This window comes from Homo sapiens, chromosome 5, assembly GCF_000001405.40.
Source record: "Homo sapiens chromosome 5, GRCh38.p14 Primary Assembly".
Classification (NCBI taxonomy): domain Eukaryota; kingdom Metazoa; phylum Chordata; class Mammalia; order Primates; family Hominidae; genus Homo; species Homo sapiens.
The window spans coordinates 31,794,157-31,816,234 of NC_000005.10; the positions used below are offsets into that span (position 1 = coordinate 31,794,157).

At 45.6% G+C, this 22,078-nt stretch overlaps 1 protein-coding gene across 6 annotated transcripts in view, besides 1 other annotated feature; it reads left to right on the top strand.

Annotated features, from left to right (window-relative positions):
* PDZD2 (PDZ domain containing 2) overlaps positions 1-22,078 on the top strand; it is a 471,802-nt gene that overhangs the window by 155,026 nt on the left and 294,698 nt on the right. For all 6 annotated transcript variants that reach the window (XM_005248269.5, NM_178140.4, XM_011513992.3 and 3 more), the window contains one exon: positions 4,733-5,568. In XM_005248269.5, coding sequence (XP_005248326.1) covers positions 5,093-5,568 — 476 coding nt within the window. In that variant the 5' untranslated portion in view covers positions 4,733-5,092. The remainder of the gene's footprint in view (positions 1-4,732; positions 5,569-22,078) is intronic.
* Positions 4,610-5,111: an enhancer, noted in NCBI's record as "H3K4me1 hESC enhancer chr5:31798873-31799374 (GRCh37/hg19 assembly coordinates)". NCBI's record gives its function as "activates a minimal SCP1, AML or CMV promoter by ChIP-STARR-seq in primed H9 embryonic stem cells {active_cell/tissue: H9 hESC(primed)}" and the evidence as "EXISTENCE:reporter gene assay evidence [ECO:0000049][PMID:30033119]".

The following is a 22,078-nucleotide window of genomic DNA, read 5'->3' on the forward strand; positions in this document are numbered from 1 at the left end:
CAAATGTCACCTTCTCGCTATCCTCTGACATTACCATAGTTACCATCACAGTACTGTCACCATCTGACGTCATAGTGTTTTGCATTTGTTTAATAATTCACCATCTTCAGAACACAGGCTTCAAGAAGCTTTCTGGGACATTGTTTTGTTCAGGACCCAGCACATGATAGACACTCAATCAACATTTGTTGAATGAATTAATAGTAGATATTTAATCATAGTTGGTTTCTTTCTTTCTTTTTTTTTTTTTTTTTTTTTTGAGATGGAGGAGTCTTGCTCTGTCGCCCAGGCTGGAGTGCAGTGGCACGATCTCGGCTCACTGCAAGCTCCGCCTCCCGGGTTCACACCATTCTCCTGCCTCAGCCTCCCGAGTAGCTGGGACTACGGGCGCCCACCACCACTCCCGGCTAATTTTTTGTATTTTGTTTAGTAGAGATCAGGGGTTTCACCATGTTGGACAGGCTGCTCTCAAACTCCTGACCTCAGGTGATCTGCCCGCCTGGGCCTCCCAAAGTTCTGGGATTACAGGTATGAACCACTACGCCCAGCCCATAGTTGGTTTCTTTTAAAAAATTTTTTTTTATTTTTAATTTTTGTGGGTACATAGCAGGTGTTTACAAAGTTAGTTTCCTTTTAAAATGATAGCATTTTCTAAAAGTGAGAAGAGCATAGGAAGATTAGGTGAAGGTCGAAGAACTTGGAATTTAGCAGAGGTCAGAATAGGAGAACGTCTAGAATCCAGGACATCTGGAAGGGAGAGCTAGTACATGACAGCCCGGTGTGAATCTGATTTTAAGGCAAGGTCTAGATAAACCAGAGGATCCTTTTATACCCCCAGCCACGTTAAGGATCTAGGCTCTGAATTTCGGGTGACCCTAGGCCTATAGAAGATGATTAGCTTCAGTTAGTTCATTGGTTCTCAACCCTTTTATTGTCCTCACATCCCTGCCTGGAGAAAGATTAAATTTAACTTCTCTGTAACATGAGAAAATAAATACTAAGGAATAAGATTTTGTTGGGTAGGATCGAGCTTTGGTAGGAGGAGGAGGATCTGCTAACCATTAGAGCATCTAAGACTTTTTTTGCCTCCCTCAACTAATTTTCACCCCCTTGTGAGTAAAGTCACCTACTGAGAATGCATGGCTTAGCTGAGACAGGATCCAAGAAAGTTGGTAGATTTTAACACCATATCAGTAAATTATCTCAGTAACAGAAGCATTTATTTTGAATGCTAAGGCTAGCAGCTTCAAGCGATTCAAAATTAATTTAAATTATCACAGCTATTTGCTTGAGATGGCAATCTAATTGGAGAATTATTTATGATACACAAAAATGGACTGGGCTGTTGCAGTGAACCTCCATGTCCAAAAATTGTGCTCACTGTTGAGATGGATTGATCTTCAGGATGGGAAGCTTGTAGGCCTTTGCACAGACTAGCCATCCAGGGAGGTCAGTATTTCTAACTGCAGATTTCTGTTCTGTATCTTCCCTGAGTCAATGTTTTGCACACTGGAGTGTTTTATTGGATCTTGTGGAACAACCACACTTTTCATAGCATTGCAACATCTCTGTCTTTTCTTACGCCCTGAATCATCTCAAATCATCGCGAGTGGATATTGATGCTTCTACTTCCCTTGTTTATAGAAAAATCCCAGGCAAATGGGTTGATAGAATAAAGGACTGGAAGGATTACTGGAAAGCCCTCAATTATAGGTATGGGATTGAAAGGCTGTGTAGCCCATGGACACCTAAGAATAAGACTAAGTGTCTTTGAGGGTGTCCGTGTATTTCCAACAATTTTTCCTCTTCTGAAAACTGCTTCCCTGTCCATCCCTCCCACCCTCTTCTAGGGCCTGAGGGTGGGCTCTCAGTGGCCCTGTTGCTATCCTGTGGCCCCACCCTCTTGGCCAACAGTGATTGGACATCAGATCCGAGCTGAGCCAATCAGCTTCACTAACTTCCAAAGTAGTAATTAACAACTCGAGTTGCAAAGAGTGGAAAACAACTCAAGGTAAAGTTTATTTTCATTTAAAGTTTTGTTTAGGTTCATTTTGCTTTACCTTTTTTCTTTCATTTTAAAGTCGTCAAAATTTTACAATGTAATTTATTGTAAGGATCGATGCTGTCTTTCTGGTTAGGGCGAGGGCAGCAATGCAGCCCCGTCCAGGATGGCGGAAAGTGAGGACGGGAAAGCTGTGGGGAACCCAGGGGCGCTCTCTCCCGGTCCTGCGCTTCTGCCCGCCACCGATCAACTTCTCTATTTCTTAGCAGGATGACTTTCTTTGCTACTCAATCCCCACAGGAGATAGAATCGTTCAAAAGTTCGTTAGTTCAAAAGCTATGACTCCTGCCACAGGGTAGAAACTAGGACTCTTTCAGAGTCGCAGTACTGAGGTCTCGGGGAAGAACCCTGATTGTCCCAGCGTGGGTGAGATGTCAAGCTCTGGACCATCCCCACGAAACGGAAGGGGAGCGGGAGAGGTGTTATCGCAGACCTATTACACACTAATTTCCGTTTATTTATGTATCTCCCCACTAGACTATGAATTCCTACAGGGCAAGGAATTTGCCTTATTGCTGGTATACAACCAGTGCCAAGTTCAAGGACTTGATAAATGTTCGATAAATACTTGCTGAATGAATCAAATGAGTGCAAATCGACACCAGGAAAACATTTCCTACTACTCTTCAGTTTGGTTTTCCTCAATCAGACTTATTTAAAGAGCATCTTGACCAAGATATTTACGGGGTTTTTTTTGTTTGTTTTTTGTTTTTTTGTTTTTTTTTTTGAGACGGAGTCTGGCTCTGTCGCCCAGGCTGGAGTGCAGTGGCGAGATCTCGGCTCACTGCAAGCTCCGCTTCCCGGGTTCACGCCATTCTCCTGCCTCAGCCTCCCGAGTAGCTGGCACCACAGGCGCCCGCCACCACACCCAGCTAATTTTTTTTTTTTTTTTTTTTTTTTTTTTTTAGTAGAGACGGGCTTTCACTGTGTTAGCCAGGATGGTCTTGATCTCCTGACCTTGTGATCCGCCCGCCTCGGCCTCCCAAAGTGCTGGGATTACAGGCGTGAGCCACTGTGCCCAGCCTGATATTTACTGTTTTTATATGTATGGAGCCATCTCAACTGTGACTAACATCCTGAATCACAGGCTGTTAAAATTGTAATGTAAAGGATCTTTTAAAATGTCTTATAAATTATTAGGAGTCTACGATGTGGTAGGTGCTGTGCTGGAGTAGTGAATATATTGATGAATAAGACAGTGATCAGCCTGGCCAACAGAGTGAAACCCTGTCTGGGATTACACACGCCTGGGATTACAGGCGCCTGCCACCACACCGAGCTAATTTTTGTATTTTTAGTAGAGATGGGGTTTCACCATGTTGGCCAGACTGGTCTCGAACTCCTGACCTTGCGATCCTCCCGCCTAACCCTCCCAAAGTGCTGGGATTACAGGTGTGAGCCACCGCGCCCAGCCTTGCATTTCTTTTTAACAACCATGTGATTATATAGATGATATTTGCTAAGCTTTTGATTTATTTGGAACCAATTAATAGCTGGCACTCAAGTTCTTTGGAAACGCAAAGCACGCTATATTGGAAATTTCTTTTTGGTTACTGAGTAATAAGGTCATTTATTATTGACATGGCTTCTGACACCTCTCCCATGCATTATTGTTCCTTGTTAAATCACTTCCTGAGAAGGCTGGAGAATGTTTTCCACGTTGGATGGCACGGTTTATATTGATTTTCTCTGGGAGAAAGTGAAGTTCAGAGAAGAGCGTGAAAGGGATCACTTTTCTATGTTTATGGAGAATGGAGGTGAAATTTTTCTTTGGTGGAGAAGGCGAGTTGGCAGTAGAATTGAATTAACCTTTCACTGGGGACTTAATATGTACCAGGCACCGTGCAGAATTCAGAGGGAGTGTGAGGCTTTAGCTCTGGTGGGAGCCGCTGGCCCTGCTGTCTGCTGACTGGTGTCACCACTGTATTCAATGTGTTTAAAAGCAAGGCAAAGAAGGCACCTGTCTTCTCGCCCAGGCATTTGGAGAAACATTCCTCTGGAGGGGATGGCTTTTAGGTTGGCCTGAAAATAAGTCAGTTTTAACCATTTACCAAAGGAAATGTAGAGATGATACTAAAACCTGGGCTGCAAAGAGCCAGACTTCCCTCTGAATCTACAGGATGGCGAAGTTTAGGAATGGTGTTGCCCTGGGACGGAGGCGGGATCTCTCCATGGTGTTGATCGGATCTTTCTTCTCTGGGTAGTGTTGTCAGAACAGATTTCTGGAATGGAGAGCCTTCCTGTGTGTACAGCTGGGCTGACCAAGGCAAATCAACATAGATTTTCTTTTTTTAGGAGTGTAAGATTTTAAATATATGCAGATCCTTCCACAGCCTTCCACAGGGTCTTGTCACACAGCCTCCTGGTTGGGTGTGAGTTTGATAGTATGTTGGTGAGGGTTGTCTTGGCCAAGTCATCTGGTTTCTCTGCTGATCCAGGAAACTTCCTGGAGAAGGCCAGTGTTCCAGAGGCGTCTGTCTGAGAGAAGGGAGTGTCCATACAGCATGGAGGTAGCCACACGGGGGAATGGGGAAGCGTTAGGTTCTGGGTTTGTGCTTGGTGCCTGGAAAGTACACATGGTCCTTCTGTAACACAGGAGGCTATGTTTTCTAGGTGAGAAGGCTCACTGTTGTAACTGGAGCTTTTTGTGTTTTCCTCTTCCTCTCCCAGGTGTGAATGAGCCCAGGGAAGGACACACGGCCACTGCTGGAGGGATCCTCCATTCCTGTGTCATTTGCATGGGTCCTGCTGTGAAATGAACCTGGCAGGGACTTGTTAGACACTTCCTTCCTTCCCTCATTGAGCACTCCAGTGCCATTGTTCCACAGTTGTTCTAATTGGGTCCTAGCTTCCTCCTGCCAAGGCAAACAGCATAGTCTCGAGTAGGTGTCCCTAGGCTCATCTGCCAGCCTGAACATGAACACAGGCAAAGCTGATGATGGCCAGGGACCCCAGGGGACGTGGGGCCCTGTGGGGTCTGGCCCCCAGGAGCAAGACCTCTGATGATGCTGGTGTCTGGGAGTGAGCACCATGCCCATCACCCAGGACAATGCCGTGCTGCACCTGCCCCTCCTCTACCAGTGGCTGCAGAACAGCCTGCAGGAAGGTGGGGATGGGCCGGAGCAGCGGCTCTGCCAGGCGGCCATCCAGAAGCTGCAGGAGTACATCCAGCTGAACTTTGCTGTGGATGAGAGTACGGTCCCACCTGATCACAGCCCCCCCGAAATGGAGATCTGTACTGTGTACCTCACCAAGGAGCTGGGGGACACAGAGACTGTGGGCCTGAGTTTTGGGAACATCCCTGTTTTCGGGGACTATGGTGAAAAGCGCAGGGGGGGCAAGAAGAGGAAAACCCACCAGGGTCCTGTGCTGGATGTGGGCTGCATCTGGGTGACAGAGCTGAGGAAGAACAGCCCAGCAGGGAAGAGTGGGAAGGTCCGACTGCGGGATGAGATCCTCTCACTGAATGGGCAGCTGATGGTTGGAGTTGATGTCAGTGGGGCCAGGTAAGTAGGGGGAATGCCTGCTGGCACAGGGGCTGGACACGGGAACCTGGTGGTTCCCAGATCTGCAGCTGCAGAGGTTTATGAATCCTGCCAATAAGAAGCTGATGGCATAAGAAATGTCTCATTTAAACCCCCTCATCCATTCAACGCAGCATCACATCTTCAACTGGAGCACCAAAGGTTGGGTCTTGGATGTGTTTTCATCTGCCTATCCCATATCACCTTAGTCCCAGCAACCGTGAGGCTCCCAGACTCACAGTCCAGAAGCCCCACCCTGGAAGATCCACTTTGATCTTATCTGAATGCATTGAATACTCTCGAGCATATTTCTGTTTTCTACCCACACGGCCACCCACCACCATATTAAGTTATTGGACTGTCTTGGTGTTTCCCAGGTGAATCAGGGAACAAGACCCCAAGGGCCCCAAGACCGTTCTCAGGTTCAGTGATTAACTAGGACTCACAAACTCAGAAAAGCAGTCATATTTCTAGTTTCAGTTCATTACACCGAAAGGACACAGATAAACATCAGCAAATGTAAAAGACACAGAGAGTAGAGTCCGTGGAGACCAGGCACAAGCTTCCAGTTGTCTCTCCCAGTGGAGTTGTGCAGACGGTGCTCAGTTCTCCCAGCAATGATGTTTGACGCCAACCAGGGACACTCACTCAAATCTTGGTGTCCAAGGTTTTTTCTTGGGGGTGGGTCATGTAAACATGGAGTACCTGTGTGGCTGAGCTTAGCTACTCCTCTCCAGTCCCTCCAGAGGTCAAACTAATGCCACATGACCCAAGTCTTCTACCATTAAGTCACATTCTTAGCATAAACTCTCTGGCAAGGCCAAACACCCCCAGGTATACAAAGACACTCTTGTCAAGCAGGATATTCTGAGGGGTTAGATCTTATCTCCCAGGAGCCAGTCCTTTCTTTGGAATGCACATGGTCTCAATACCCCACCCCTGGTGAGTTAACCCTTCACTACACATCAGGGTTTTAATGATAGGTATATAGGAAAGAGACTGGGAAAGAGAATTTGAGGATATTCTGAGTGAGATCCATGAATTTTGTCAAGCTTTCAGGGGCTCCTGGGAGTAAGGCTCCTATGTCCTAGAAGGAGAGAATCATGGAGAGAAGGCCACCTTGAGAAACGTAGTGACCTTTGGATGATGGAGACAGCTCACCCAAGGAGACTCTGCAAGGAGAGAACCAGAGCAGAAATACCTTGACCTTAATCTTCATCCTCCCTCCAGTGTCAGAGCCTCCCATCAGTGGAAACCAGCCAGGGGCAGGGGAGTCCATTGATTTGTCTATATGTGTCAGTGCCCTGGTGCAAAGTGCAGGGTGGAGAAGAATGGAGATTGGATGTGGAGGGTCAACAAGCAGTCATTGGGCACATACAACATGGTCCAAATTCAAATGATCCAGTACATGGAAAGGAAGTAGCACAGAGCTGGCTCACAGGTGTGAGGACTTATGCAGTAGACACTCTCACCAGTATTTCCTTTGGTTTGCCCCTTCAACTGCAGAGATGCTTTTAGCCAATGGCTAGGTGCCTGACTGGCCGTTACTGGGAAAAGCCACTCATTTTCAAGGAGGGATGAAATGATTTTATTTGGGATTAGAGATTGTTCTCAGAAAAGGAGCAACGCTGACCACCACCAGGCTCAAGATGCTGCAGGGAGCTGAAAAAGTGACTCAGCTTCCTGGAGGCTGGGTCCAGGGTTAGAAGTGGGGATTGCCATGGAGCTGGAGATAGTTCTTTGAAAGTGGTCCCTAAGAGCCCCTACCGTTTGCAGCTATCTGGTTGGAAAGAAGCTGATTTGGATAGAGAGGTAGAAGGAAGATCAGGGAGGGGACATCCAGCAGGAGGACGAAGTAGTCAGGAGCTCCAGCTCCAGAACAGATAACTGGGGCTGCCTCCTTGGGTTCCCTTTACTAGCTGGTTGATCTTGGGAAAATTGTACCTCTTAGCCTCAGATGCCCCATGTGTGAAATGGGAATCATAAGACTGTTGATGCCAATAACTAAATGATTAAATAGTACATATAAAGGGCTCAGCACTATGTCTAGTAAGTAGTAGTCTATATGTATTAATATCATCATTACTACCATAATGGAGAGTGTTTGGGAGGTTGCTGGAGTCTTTAGGAGGCAAAGTTTTCTTTCCCAGCCTCTAAGAACCTATCTACCCCTGGGATGAGATGACTTTCCAGCTACCAATGGAGGATTCCTTGATATTTTCATTTACTTGTTGGGGGAGTGACAGGATGATGCCCAGTTTTGCAAAGAAAGATTAAGAGGAATAGAAGGTGATGGGCCAGGGTCATGACAGAAGGTGGAACATAGAACTGGAATCTTTATTGAAGCTCTGAAGAAGGATCACATGTGGTGTGATGGAGGGAGCAGTGGACTGGGTTTGGGATTCCAGGTTCTCTCCAAGGTCTTCTAGCAACTAGCTTTGGGACCCTAGGTAAGTTTGTTGGGATGGTGGTATTGGGGTGGGAGGGAGGTTCACTGTAGCTGCCTATGCTAAAATACTAGGGGTGAATCTGTGAGACACTTTTTTATCTATCTGAGCTAGTGTTATTGTTCCAGAAGCCCATAGAGGTTTAGTGGTGTTCCTGGGATGCCGCAGTGATAACTGGCAGAGCCGAGGCTCAGGCTCCGTCTCTGACTCCCAGCCAAATGTCCTATTCGGTGCAACACTCCACTTATGGGCACTCCGAAAGAAATGCTTGGATGGGTGTGACCTCTTGGTATCTGGACTCAAATAGCTGAAGCTGAGGAGCTTAGGAAATAGGAATAGGAGAAAATGTCAGGGAATAGACCAGTGGGATTCGTTAATTGTTACAACTGGCTGTTCTATAACATACCTGAGATTTGTTTTAATCAGATATGGTAAAAGATGTACACATGAGCCGTGCGCCGTGGCTCACGCCTGTAATCCCAGCACTTTGGGAGGCCGAGGCGGGCAGATCACAAGGTCAGGAGATCGGGACCATCGTGGCTAACATGGTGAAACCCCGTGTCTACTAAAAACACAAAAAATTAGCCGGGCGTGGTGGCGGGTGCCTGTAGTCCCAGCTACTTGGGAGGCTGAGGCAGGAGAATGGCCTGAACCCAGGAGGCGGAGCTTGCAGTGAGCCGAGATTGCGCCACTGCACTCCAGCCTGGGCGACAGAGCAAGACTCTGTCTCAAAAAAAAAAAAAAAAAAAAAAGACGCGCACACATGGAAATGGCTGTCACGAAGTCTCAGATCTGTAGAAACAGGAGGCACGCCACACCACATAGGGCTACACAGGGAAGTGCAGGGGTCAGTGAGGAGGCAGAGAAGAGAGAGGAGAGCATGGCCCAGAGCCTTTATTTTATTTTATTTTATTTTTTTTTTTTGCAGACAGCGTCTTACTCTTATCACCCAGGCTGGAGTGCAGAGCCACAGTCATAGCTCACTGCAGCCTTGAACTCCTGGGCTCAAAGGATCCTCCCACCTTAGCTTCTCTAGTAACTGTGTCTGCAGGTGTGCACCACTGCATCTGGCTTTTTTTTTTTTTTTTTTTTTTGTAGAGATGGTATCTTACTATGTTGCCCAGGCTGGTCTCAAACTCCTGGCCTCAAGTGATCCTCCCACCTCATCCTCCAAAAGTGTTAGGATTACAGGTGTGAGTCACTGCACCCATGGGGCTCCATAGGCTTTATTGAGGTTTTCATGGGAAGGAACAGAGGAGGCAGGGTAGGTGGCTGAGTGTGCTTAGGATTGGATAGTTTGAATAATTTCAGTAGGCTCCGGACTATATGGTCCTTAGTTGTCCCGGTGTCTGGCCCTGGAGTGATTTGAGGCAGGGAGAATATTGGCTTGGTGTGTGAGTTTGATAAAGGAGATAATTGGGTATGGCTCTGGGTTGGTTGGTTTGTATGTTAAAGCTCTACTCACAAGGGAGTCCTTTGCTATCTTTAGGAATCAGCCACCCCTGGGAGGGGCAGCCTGTCGATGTTCAAGACTCCAAATCTCAGAGCATCAAGAATACAGAAAATAGGGGCAAGGTAGCTGACGCCTGTAATTTCAGCACTTTGGGAGGCCGAGATGGCAAGATTGCTTGAGCCCAGGGGTTCAAGACCAGCCTGGGCAACATGGCAAGTCCCCATCTCTATAAAAAAATTTTTTTTAATTAGCTGGGCATGGTGGTGCACACCTGTAGTCCCAGCTACTCGAGAGGCTGAGGTGGGAGGATTGCTTAAGCCCAGGAGGTCGATCGAGGCTGCAGTGAGCCATGTTTGCACCACTGTACTCTAGCCTGGGCAACACAGCAAGACCCTGCGTCCAAAAAAAAAAAAAAGATACAGAAAATAAGAACATATAATGAAAACGCTGGGCTTCTGGAAACCTTTCACAGCTGAGGAAGTAAAATCTTGTTTAGTGGTCAGCAGTCATGACTTTGAAGTTCCTTTCTGTGTTGAAGCAGCCGTGTGTGTGCTAGACGATGAAAAGCCAGGTGAAAGAGGGTGTATCCTGAAGCCACTGAGATGTAGTGGTAGGAGAAAGGGAAGGCCAACACCTATTACTTGGTCTTCATGAAAGAGAGCTTGAAATTGAATCAAGTAATGAGGCAAGGAATCCTCAAGTCCTGTGCTCCTATTGCCTTATAACAATCAAGGAGTTAACAAGACAGACTAGCTTGATTTTTCACTCCCTACTTCTCTTGAATAATTACAAGAAGTACCATTTATTGAGCAGTTTCTACCGTAGAGGATGTCTGCCAGCCACTGTCTCATTTAATAGCGACCACAATTCCATAAAGGACAGCCTTTGATGAGAAACCTTGGCTGAATATCACTTCCCCACGGTCACCTAAGTAAGAGGCAAAATTAGATTTGAACCCAAGTCCTTCTGGCTCCATTGTCTGTATTCCTAACCACTGCATTGTACGACCTCAACTTCTGCACCAGATCTGTACTTTGGTCCTTGTGCGATACTACCTCAACTTCTGCACCAGATCTGTACTTTGGTCCTTGTGCGATCTGATGCATAATTTCATGGATGGTTTACATCTTCACAAAATACCTCCTCAGTATAATCACAGACACCAGGGAAGAAAATGACTTATGAAGAACAAACTATAAGGTTTCTTTTCTACCTGCCCAAACTGACAAGGAAAACAAGCCCCCTGCCTCATCTTGTACAAGGAAGCCCGGTCAGGCGTGGTGGCTCATGCCTATAATCCCAGCACTTTGGGAGGCCGAGGCGGGTTGGTCAGCTGAAGTCAGGAGTTTGAGACCAGCCTGGCCAACATGGCGAAACCCTGCCTCTACTACAAATACAAAAAATTAGCCAGGTGTGGTGATGCATGCCTGTAATCCCAGCTACTCGGGAGGCTTAGGCAGGAGAATCACTTGAACCCAGGAGGTGGATGTTGCAGTGAGCCTAGATTGTGCCGCCATTGCACTCCAGCCTGGGCAACAGAGCAAGACTCTGTCTCAAAATAAATAAAATAAAAGGAAGCCCAATTGTAATATAGACTCCTTTTGGCAAACTTAGCTCTAGCCAGAGCTTTGGGACTAGAAGCACTTTGCAATTTAGGTAGTAGGGAGTTGAAAGTGTTTTGAATGTTCTCAAGTGTTCCTTTTCAGTCTTTGTGACTGACTGTTTCCTTCAGTGCTAAATTTTCCCACCTACCTATGTGAGTTTTGTCTTAAAAAGTGGTAAGTAGAAATTAGAGTTCTGGACAGACCCCAGTGTACCCCTCTGCCTCCCAGCAAATGGTTCCTCGGTTGATGGTTGCCTGTTCACTCTTAATTGTAAGCAGTGGGTTTCAGGGGTCAACACACCAACTTACCTGCCAGCGTGATAAATGGTCCACACTAGCATATACAGCTGTCGTATGAAGGACTCTCTTGCAATCTCTTCTGCTCCCTGTCAGGAGTTTGATTTTGAATTCAAAACTACCTTAGATGATGTTATGGGTTGAATTATGTCCCCCCAAAATTCATCTGTTGAAGTCCTAGCCCCCAGAATATGACCTTATTTAGAAATAGGATCATTGCAGGAATAATTAGTTAAGATGAGGTCCTAGTGGAGTAGGTTGGCCCCTATTCCAGGATAACTGTTGTCTTTATAAAAAGGGCAAATTCGGTCACAGACTCAACACAGGAGTAACACCATGTGTGATTGGAGTTATGCTGCTGAAAGCCAAGGAACGACCAGAAGCTGGGAGAGAGGCTTGGTACAAACCCTTTCCTAGCCTCTCCAAACTAGGGGAGCTTGGCTCTGCTGACACCTTGAGCTCCAGCGTCTCACCTCTAAAACCGTGACACAGTAAATCCCTGTTGCTTAAGCCTCCTGGTTTGTGGTCGCCCTAGAAAACTACTAGTACAGGTGACATTTTGTCCCTGTCACCTTATAGGAGTCCATTTTTCGGATGATTTCCTCCCCGACACTGGACACTTTAGAGCACTGTGGATGTTTTTTGATGAGGACACTCTGAGAACCATGTGTGTGTTAACTGTGAAAGGAGCAGTTACAGTATGTGGAAGATGAGGTCATGATTTGCTTACTTCAAAAATTAGTTTAGGGTCGATTTGGAATGTCCATCCTTTGAGAAAGAACAAAAAATTCAAGGCCATGGGTTTGACAGAACTTCTGTACCCCAGACCCGCTTTAGAGCCTAAACCTGTGACTGCCTCCAAATTACAGACCCCGTTCCTGATTCCTACCTTTTCACTGGCTGGCACTCCTGATGCCTAGTAATCCTAGGAAGCCTTCATTCTTTTGAGTGTTAGCAGCTTTGTCCTGGTGGGAACTTCTAGAGAACTTTCTGGGAAGGGGAGTATTCATGGTGTTTGATGTCACCTGCCCCATCTTGAAGGCACAGCTGATAACTCATGGAGGAAAGTTTTTGTTTGTGAGCTCCATCACATCCACTCTGGGGACTTTCTGGAATGTTCTACTTACTTGTTTGGTGCAGGGAGAACTGGGAAGGTTTTCTAGATTCATTCCTACAAAGGAATACTTTGTAACGCCAGTCACTTCCTAGCTTTCTATAAGTAAACCAGATCTGTTCCCTAAGGACAGATTGTTCCAAATTGGTCGCAAAATATGGAATTAATTAAAACAAAACCCACACACCAAAACAGAAACAAATGTCTTTTCTGAAAAGTAAAAGTCTTTTCGCTTAAAACGCATTTTTGCAGAATGTAAACTTTGGGCGTCTTTGTTTTTTTTTTTTTTTTTTTTAAGACGGAGTTTCACTCTTGTTGCCCAGGCTGGAGTGCAACGGCGCGATCTCGACTCACTGCAACCTCCACCTCCCGGGTTTAAGTGATTCTGCTGCCTCAGCCTCTTGAGTAGCTGGGATTACAAGTGCCTGCCATTATGCCTGGCTAATTTTTTGTATTTTTAGTAGAGACGGGGTTTCACCATGTTGGCCAGACTGGTCTTGAACCTCTGACCTCAGGTGATCCACCCATCTCAGCCTCCCAAAGTGCTGGGATTACAGGCATGAGCCACTGCACCCGGCCATCTTTGTACAGTAATAAACGTGAGCAGAGCACAGTGCAAAGAATGCGGGCCTCGGAGAGAGGTGTGTCAGGCTTTTGGACCTACTTAGTGGGTGTGTGATGGGGGCAGGTGACCTCAGCCACAGGCTGTTGCTGCTACTTCCCTAAAGGGGTTGTTGAGTGGATGACAGATGATTTACCTAATGTACTGAATACAGCATCTGGCACATGGTAGCTGTTCAGCCAGAGGTAACTTGTAACACCCCACCCAGTCAGCCTCAGGCAACGTGGACCCAGAGCACAGCATGCATCTGAGAAAAGCCCTTTGAGTTTGAGGGAGAGAGAAGAGCCTCAAACTCTGCCTGTTCACTCCACAGGGAAGACAAAGAATAATCTTTGGTCCAGACACTGGGGTCCATTCCAATATTGAGCGAGTGGCGTGGCATGGGGACCCCCATTTGGAAGGGATGCTGGCGGATGCAAGAACCGGGTCCCGGAGCCTGCAGGGCCTGACAGCACCTTTGAGTTCCGGGAGTGTGAGAAGTCTGTGTGGTCCTAGAAGAGGGGCCAGGATGCTGGGCTGGCAGGAGGGGGCTGGGGGGCTCAGGGCGACAGGCCAATTGGTACGGAAGTATGACATGCTGTGAGGACCAGTGGAATGTCAGCCCTGGTCAGAAGTCACCTTCAGCACAGTACCCGCTGCCTTGAACTTGCATGTAAAATTAAATTTAGGGTTGTTGCAAGCTTAGGCTCTGGTTACCCATGGCAACCTTGAGTTCTGTCTGCATTATAGCAGATTTTAAACAGTGTCAAGAGGCTGCTAGAAGGTGTTACTTGGAAAAATGACTGCAGGTAGTGATGTAGGTAGGAGATGGTAGAGAGAAAGAATTGCCAATTGTAGCTTGATACTGTAGTCTCTGGGGCCATTTAGCATAAGGGTCCTGCCTACCTGAATATGCTCAAAGGTGCCTGACGCTCTGTGCAGGACTGGATATATAGTAAGAGGTCGTCATCACCATGACTTAGAGACATTAAGGAAAGGTGAAATTATACTCAGCTTGCTGTTTAAAAAGCCAGAGAAGCATGTAATACACTTTAGAAAGATTTCCCTTACCGGTTAAAACGAAAACAAGTTTCAGCATTTAAAATTCAATTATGTGGAAAACCTGCCATGTGGAACAGCCCATTCCCCAAGGATGAAGTGTAAGTGAAGCATTACGGACTGTTTGTTCGTGACCCGCTTCATTCCTTTCAGACTGCTGTCTCCACGTGCTGTTTCACTCCAGGACTTGGTTTCTGGAAGGTATCCCAGGGTTCATCCAAGTCCTGTTTTCTCACTCTACCAAGGTGGAAACTGAGGCTTCAGGAGGTGGTTTCCTGGGGTCAAGTATCATCTTAGAGAAGAGTGACGCCTAGAATTCATGCACTCTGACTCAAATTCTAGAATGTTTTCTTTAACATCATAAATAACAACTAATGAGGCTGGGCATAGTGGCTCATGCCTGTAATGCCAGCACTTGGGGAGGCTGAGGCGGGTGGATCACTTGAGGTCAGGAGTTTGAGACCAGCCTGGCCAACATAGTGAAACCCCATCTCTACTAGAAATACAAAAAATTAGCTGGGCATGGTGGCACACACACCTGTAGTTCCTGCTACTCAGGAGGCTGAGGCAGGAGAATCGCTTGAACTGGGAGGCGGAGGTTGCAGTGAGCCGAGATCACACCACTGCACTCCAGCCTGGGCAACAGAGCAAGACTCCATCTCAAAAAAAAAAAAATAATAAAAATAACTAATGAAATTAGGATGGTTTTTTAACAGTTTATTATTTACATAAAAACATAGAAAATCTATGTTTTTACCTGTTCTGAAAATGGATAGTTACATCTAGAACCTTCCATCTCAACAAGAGTGTAGCTTATAGCTGCCTCCTAAGAGTGTGGCGATGGCCATTGGAGAGGACAGTGGGAGCTTGCTTTCCTCACCTCTTGGGAGTGCCATCTGACAAGCTGTGAGGATCTGAGGGCCGTCGCCTGCCATCTTGTGGTTGAAATCCAGCACAGTGAGAGAAAGTGCTGGGAGCCCCAGTCCAGTTTATTATTCACAGGCTGTGTGTGTTTCACCGCCGTGCTGTTTGGCTGATGTTTTCAGCCTTCAGAGCTCTCTCTTGAATGGCAACATCTGAGCTATCCTCTCCTGTCTGTGACTGGTGTTTTTTCCTGTGGCCCTGGGAGGTGCCCCATTCGAGTCCCTTCACACACACAGCCTCGGCCCTCAGGAGTCGCACTAATGAATGAGGAGCTGATCTGAGAAATCCGCCTGTGCTCAGCTCTTCGTGATGGATGACAGAGGGGAGTTATTCGTCCCCAGTTTCTCTAACTCTGTTCTGGAATCAGAAGCCTTTTAAGGAAAGCGTGAGCAGCAAGACAATTTCCAACACTACAATGGCCAGTGGGGTGAGTTCTTTCAGAAAACTGGCAAACTTGGCCACACCCTCCGTCGCAGCCCACAGATCATTGTTGAAAGCCACATGCACAGCTGCTTTTCAGGGTCCACTTGTTTTTATGAGGGAAGAGATTCCATAAAAAGAGCGACTTTCCATCATTTAAAGAGGATTGAGGTTTCAGAGCCAGATCCAGAGATGCTCTTTAATTTTATCCCAGTGACCTGCTCCTCCTCTGGTACCCTGGTCACAACCTTTCTGAATGGGGGCAGCACAGCCCCTGGGTGATTAACTTGAGCCATGGAAGATGGAAAACCCAAATACCTACATAAGACACTCGCTTTTAAACTCTTAGCACTACTTTCGGGAATTGTAATGGTAATTGTAAACCATACAGAGAAGAAAGATAAAAGCATCTTAGTGTGGTTATAGTGTTACTGGTCCAACTTCATACCCGTCTATCTATAGGCACCCCTGGGCCATTTTCAGCAATCCTGACTTCTACTTTATCTTTTCTGTCCGGGTACTAAATACGTTATGAACATTTTTATTCTCTCGTTTTGAGCACCATATGCCCTCAAAATGACTTTTTCTTTTCTTCTCCAGAGATTTTTTTTTTTTTTTTTGAGACGGAGTCTTACTCTGTCGCCCAGGCTGGAGTGCAGTGGCGCGATCTCCGCTCACTGCAACCTCCGCCTCCCGGGTTCATGCAATTCTCCTGCCTCAGCCTCCCGAGTAGCTGGGACTACAGGTGCCCACCACCACGCCTCACTAAATTTTTGTATATTTTTTAGTAGAGACGGGGTTTCACTGTGTTACCCAGGATGGTCTGGATCTCCTGACCTTGTGATCCGCCCACCTTGGCCTCCCAAAGTGCTGGGATTACAGGCTTGAGCCACCACGACCAGCCGCCTCCAGAGATTTTTGAACTTCAGGCTTTGGCACCTGTTTTGGCCCTTGGCCCTTTCTTAGTTACTGTGGAAGCAGAGGCAGGTAACCAACTGCAATGAGTAGGTGAGCCGTTCCTATGAACTTCACTCCCATTCCACCTGGGTTTGCCAAGTACAGAAATGAACAGACTTGCACTTGCATCTTCTGGTGTTGGAGGGCACCAATATCAAAAGGTGACCTCTTGCTGGAGGACAACAATATCTGCTATTTAAGGACCCAAATATATAACTCTTGTACAATGTAAAATGAAACAAAGCTTGTAAACAGTTATATAGATTTCTTCATGGGATTCTTCTTTGAGATGTGATCTTTCTCCAAAGATTTTGAGGATGAGAGTTTGTTTAAAATGTTCTGAAGCTCTGATACTAGTGGCCTTTTCATTTTTTATTTTTTTGAGACAGAGTCTCGCTGTCGCCTAGGCTGGACAGAGCACAATGGCACGATCTTGGTTGGCTCAATGCAACCTCCGCCTCCCGGCTTCAAGCAATTCTTCTGCCTCCAGCTCTGAAGCAGCTGGGACTACAGGTGCACACCATGCCCGGCTAATTTTTTGTATTTTAAGTAAAGACAGGGCTTCACCATGTTGGCCAGGCTGGTCTCGAACTCTTGACCTCAAGTGATCCACCCACCTCGGCCTCCCAAAGTGCTGGTGTTACAGACCTGGCCTTACTAGTGGCTTTTTTGATAACTTGGAATAACAATGTTGAATTATATGGAGCAACAATGTTGAATTGTATGGATCTCTTATCTTTGAGTCACAGAAACTTGGATGCCAGGGCTGCAGTGATGGTGTAATAGCTGACTCATCCCTCAGGGCTCTTTGTTCACCAAAGGAAAGATGATTCTATCATTTGCAATGTCTCTTTGACTTAAATTTAGCCATGTCCTTTTGGGGAGGAAGGCTGGGCTAGTTCCATAGCTGAAGTGCATGTCTCCCCAGCCCTTAGGCTGGACTATAAGGTTGATCAGTTTAAATGGGGCTGGGATTTATTAAGAAATTTTGACCTTGGGATCACAAATGTATCTTCACAAATATTCCTGAAAGGAGGCCTGAACTATTATGGGGTCGAGGGGAGTGGATAGCCTTAAATTTTCAAGCTCTAGCCAGGCAGGGTGGCTCATGCCTGTAATCTCAGCACTTTTGGAGGCCAAGGCAGGTGGATCACTTGAGGTCAGGAGTTGGAGACCAACCTGGCCAACACGGTGAAACCCCATCTCTACTAAAAATACAAAATTTAGCCAGGCGTGGTGGTGCGTGCCTGTAATCCCAGCTACTTGGGAGGCTGAGGCAGGAAAATTGCTTGAACCCAAGAGGTGGAAGTTGCAGTGAGCTGAGATCGTGCCACTGCACTCCAGTCTGGGCAAGAGAGTGAGACTCTGTCTCAAAAATAAATAAATAAATAAATAAATAAATAAATAAATAAATAAATAAAAATTCAAGCTCTGTTAAGTACATGTCTCTGTTAAATTCCATGGCAAGTCTGGGTTTTTCCCTGACTCAAGGGTTTTATTTAGTCCAGATATCCACTCCTGTGAAGTCCTCATCTGAACCAGTGTAATGGGCAGAAAGAACTTACATAGAAGTCACCAGAAAATGGTTCATGCTCTAGAATGGTGGTTGCTAAGGTGAGAAGCCTGAAAAGATCCATGCGTAAGAGGAAAAATTATCAGTATCCCAAGAAATTTTTTATCTTTAAAAAAAATTGAGTTTGACCAATAATTTAGATATGGATTGACACTGGCTTCCTTGTTCAATCGAATGTCAGAGAGTCCCATTTTCTGTGTAGTCCATGACATATGCTGAGGGAAGGGGAGAAGGTCCACAAAGGCCCCCTCACTGGTTGATATACAACCCTCTTTTTTTTTTCTGTCCCCCAGGCTGAAGTGCAGTCACACAATCAAAGCTCACTGCAGCCTTGAACTCCTGGGCTCAAGCAATCCACCTATCTCAGCCTCTCAAGTAGCTGAGACTACAGGTGTGAACCATGGTGCCTGGCCTGTTTAATCCACTTTGGGCTTATGTCAAGGGACTGGAGTTTATGTAGGCTCACCTGATGAAGTGGGTTTATGGATTAAATTATTTTGTTTTAACTGAGTTAACCTTTACCAAATGGGCAGAAAAACTAAAGAAATTTCTTATTTTTATTTTTAATATACAGAGATGAGGGTCTCACTATGTTGTCCAGGCTGTTCTCAAATTCTTGGCCTCAAGGGATCCTCCTATCCCAGCCTCCCGAAGTGCTGGTATTACAGGAGTGAGCCACTGCTCCTGGCCTAAAAATACTACAATTAATGCAGGTGTAAGCAAACAATAAGAAATGACTGGGTTAACACTTTTCTTCCTGCTACCATGTGCTAGTTATGAAGTAAAACAGTGACAATCTATGTAGACTGAGAAGTCAGACAAAAACATAAAATTCATCAGGGGACTATGTGAAATATAAACTTACAACCACTAGCATTAAAGAAAAACCTCATCCTAAGCATAGATTGTGCCTTACGGTAATACTTGACGACATCAGACCATTATAATTAGCAAGATATTTAAAATCTAAGTATTCACGGCCAGGTGCGGTGGCTCACGCCTGTAATGCCAGCACTTTGGGAGGCCAAGGCAGGTGGATCACGAGGTCAGGAGATGGAGACCATCCTGGCTAACACGGTGAAACCCCGTCTCTACTAAAAATACAAAAAATTAGCCGGGCATGGTGGCAGGCGTCTATAGTCCCAGCTACTCGGGAGGCTGAGGCAGGAGAATGGCGTGAACCCGGGAGGTGGAGCTTGCAGTGAGGGGAGATTGCACCACTGTACTCCAGCCTGGGCGACAGAGCGAGACTCCGTCTCAAAAAAAAAAAAAAAAAAAAAAAAAATCTAAATATTCACAACGTGAATACAAATAGTTTAAAATGTTTTAGCAGTGTTTAAAATTACGTATTACTAAATCTAGTCCAGGATTTTAGCAAACTGAATATTTAAGAGCCTGTTTTGAGGGTTTTTAAAAACATAATTGCTTAAGGTAAAAAGCTACATACCAGTAGAAAAACAGCCTTCCTGATGTGGTCAAAATAGCTAAAATAATACATGGAAAACAATATAGCTGCAAAATAAAACGCACGGTTTTGTCAGCAAATTCCGATGCACAGATCCACAGATGTGGAAGATGCACAGAAATATTGCTGAAGTTTCAAAGAAAGAGTGTAGTGGGGGAGATCTGCTGTGCAGTTGGACTTAAGTACTGCTGTTTCACACATGTTCCAATTAAGAGTATTTGCTTGATTCTGGCCAGGCACGGTGGCTCATGCCTATAATCCGAGCACTTTGGGAGGCCAAGGTGGGCAGATCACTTGAGCCCAAGAGTTTGATAACAGCCAAGTCAACGTGGTGAAACCCCATCTCTATTTTTGTAAAAACTTTTTTAAATAAAAAAGATTTTTAAAAAAGAATATTTGCTTGTGTCTGTTTCAATAATGAAATAGACCTATTTATTTGTGAGGTCACTAAAAGAAAGAGGTACCAGAAAAGATGTATTTTTCACAATTCAATGCCTTTGTTAGTTAAAACAATGGTTTATGGGAAAATTATATCAGGTAACAGTAGCTTTAACTAGAATAAAAAGGAATTCAGGATATCCCAATTACACTGATTTGAGTTTTACAAATTATATGTTGATGAAAAGAGTCAAACTTTGTAAAATATTTAGAGTTTTATTCTGAGCCAAATATGAGTGACCAAGGCCTGAGACATAATCTCAAAAGGTCCTGAAAACATGTACCCAAGGTAGGTAGGTTACAGCCTGATTTTACACCTTTTAAGGGGACAGAAGTTACAAGCAGACACCAATCAACTTGGGGACAGCCTTCCAGGTCAAAGGTGGATTCAAAGATTTTCTGATTGACAATTGGTTGAAAGAGTTATTATCTAAAGACATGGAATTAGCCCTGGTGTCGTGGCTTACACGTGTAATCCCAGGACTTTGGGAGGCCAAGGCAGGTGGATCACCTGAGGTCAGGAGTTCGAGACCAGCCAGGCCAACATGGTGAAACCTCGTCTCTACTAAAAAAAAACAGCCAAGCGAGGTGGTGGGTGCCTGTAATCCCAGCAACTTGGGAGACTGAGGCACAAGAATCGCTTGAACCTGGGAGTCAGAGGTTGCAGTGAGCCAAGATTGTGCCACTGCACTCCTGCCTGGGTGACAGCGAGACTCCATCTAAAAAAAAAAGAAAGAAGGAAAGAAAAAAAGACCTGGAATCAATAGAAAGGAGCGTATGGGTTAAGATAGGCGGTTGTGCAGGCCAAAGTTCTTCCTATGTAGAAGAAGCCTCCAGGTAGCAGGCTTCGGAGAGAATAGATGGCAAGGCCGGGGGCGGTGGCTCATGCCTATAATCCCTACACTTCAGGAGGCTAAAGTGGGTGGATCACCTGAGATCAGGAGTTTGAGACCAGCCTGGCCAACATGATGAAACCCCATCTCTACTAAAAATACAAGAAAATGAACTGGATGTGGTGGCAGGCACCTATAATCCCAGCTACTCAGGAGGCTGAGGCGAGAGAATCACTTGAACCCAGGAGGCAGAGGTTTCAGTGAGCTAAGATCGCGCCACTGCACTCCAGCCTAGGCAACAAGAGCAAAACTCTGTCTCAAAAAAAAAAAAAAAAAAAAAAAAAGAATAGGTGGCAGATGTCTCATCAGACTGTAAAAGGTGCTAGACTCTTAGTTAAATCTCTCCTGGATCAGCAAAAGACCTGGGAAAGGAAGGGGATCCTGTATAGAATGTAGATTTTCCCCACAAGAGACAGCTTTGCAGGGCTGTTTCAAAATATGTCAAAGAGATATATTTTGGAATAAAATGCTTCAATTTCTTTCAGTGCCTGCTGTCTGTCATGTGATGCTATACTAGAGTCAGGTCAGCATCTGGTGTCTCACTGCTACAAAGAGTCTGTTTTGTCTGTCTTGAAGTCTCTATCTTAATGTTAACGCTGGTCTGTTGTGCCTGAATTCCTAAGGGAAGAGAATATAATGAGGCATGTCCTGCGCCTTTTTGCCTGTCATGGCCTGAACCAGTTTCTCAGGTTTACTTTGGAATCCCCTTGACCAAGAAGCAGGGTTCACTTAGTCAGTTGGAGGGCTTAGAATTTTATTTTCGGTTTACATATGAATGTATTAAATAATCACATGAACCCTGAAAATTTTGTAAAAACTTAAATGTGTAAATAAATTTTTTTTTTAAATTTAGGTAAGGTTACAAAAATAGGCCAAGAGCATGAAATTTATTCAGCCATTTCATCCTCTTGGCCTATTTCAGGGAATGATGATGAAAATATCTTACTACATAGAGGTTTGATGTTTATTTCTAAACAAAGCATTTATTAGAGTAATAGAACTTAAACATGACTGGGATTGGGCCGGGCGCAGTGGCTCATGCCTGTAATCCCAACATTTTGGGAGGCTGAGGTAGGCAGATCACGAGGTCAGGAGATCAAGACCATCCTGGCTAACACAGTGAAACCCTGTCTCTACTAAAAATACAAAAAATTAGCTGGGCATGGTGGCAGGCGCCTGTAGTCCCAGCTACTCGGGAGGCTGAGGCAGGAGAATGGCATGAACCCGGGAGGCGGAGCTTGCAGTGAG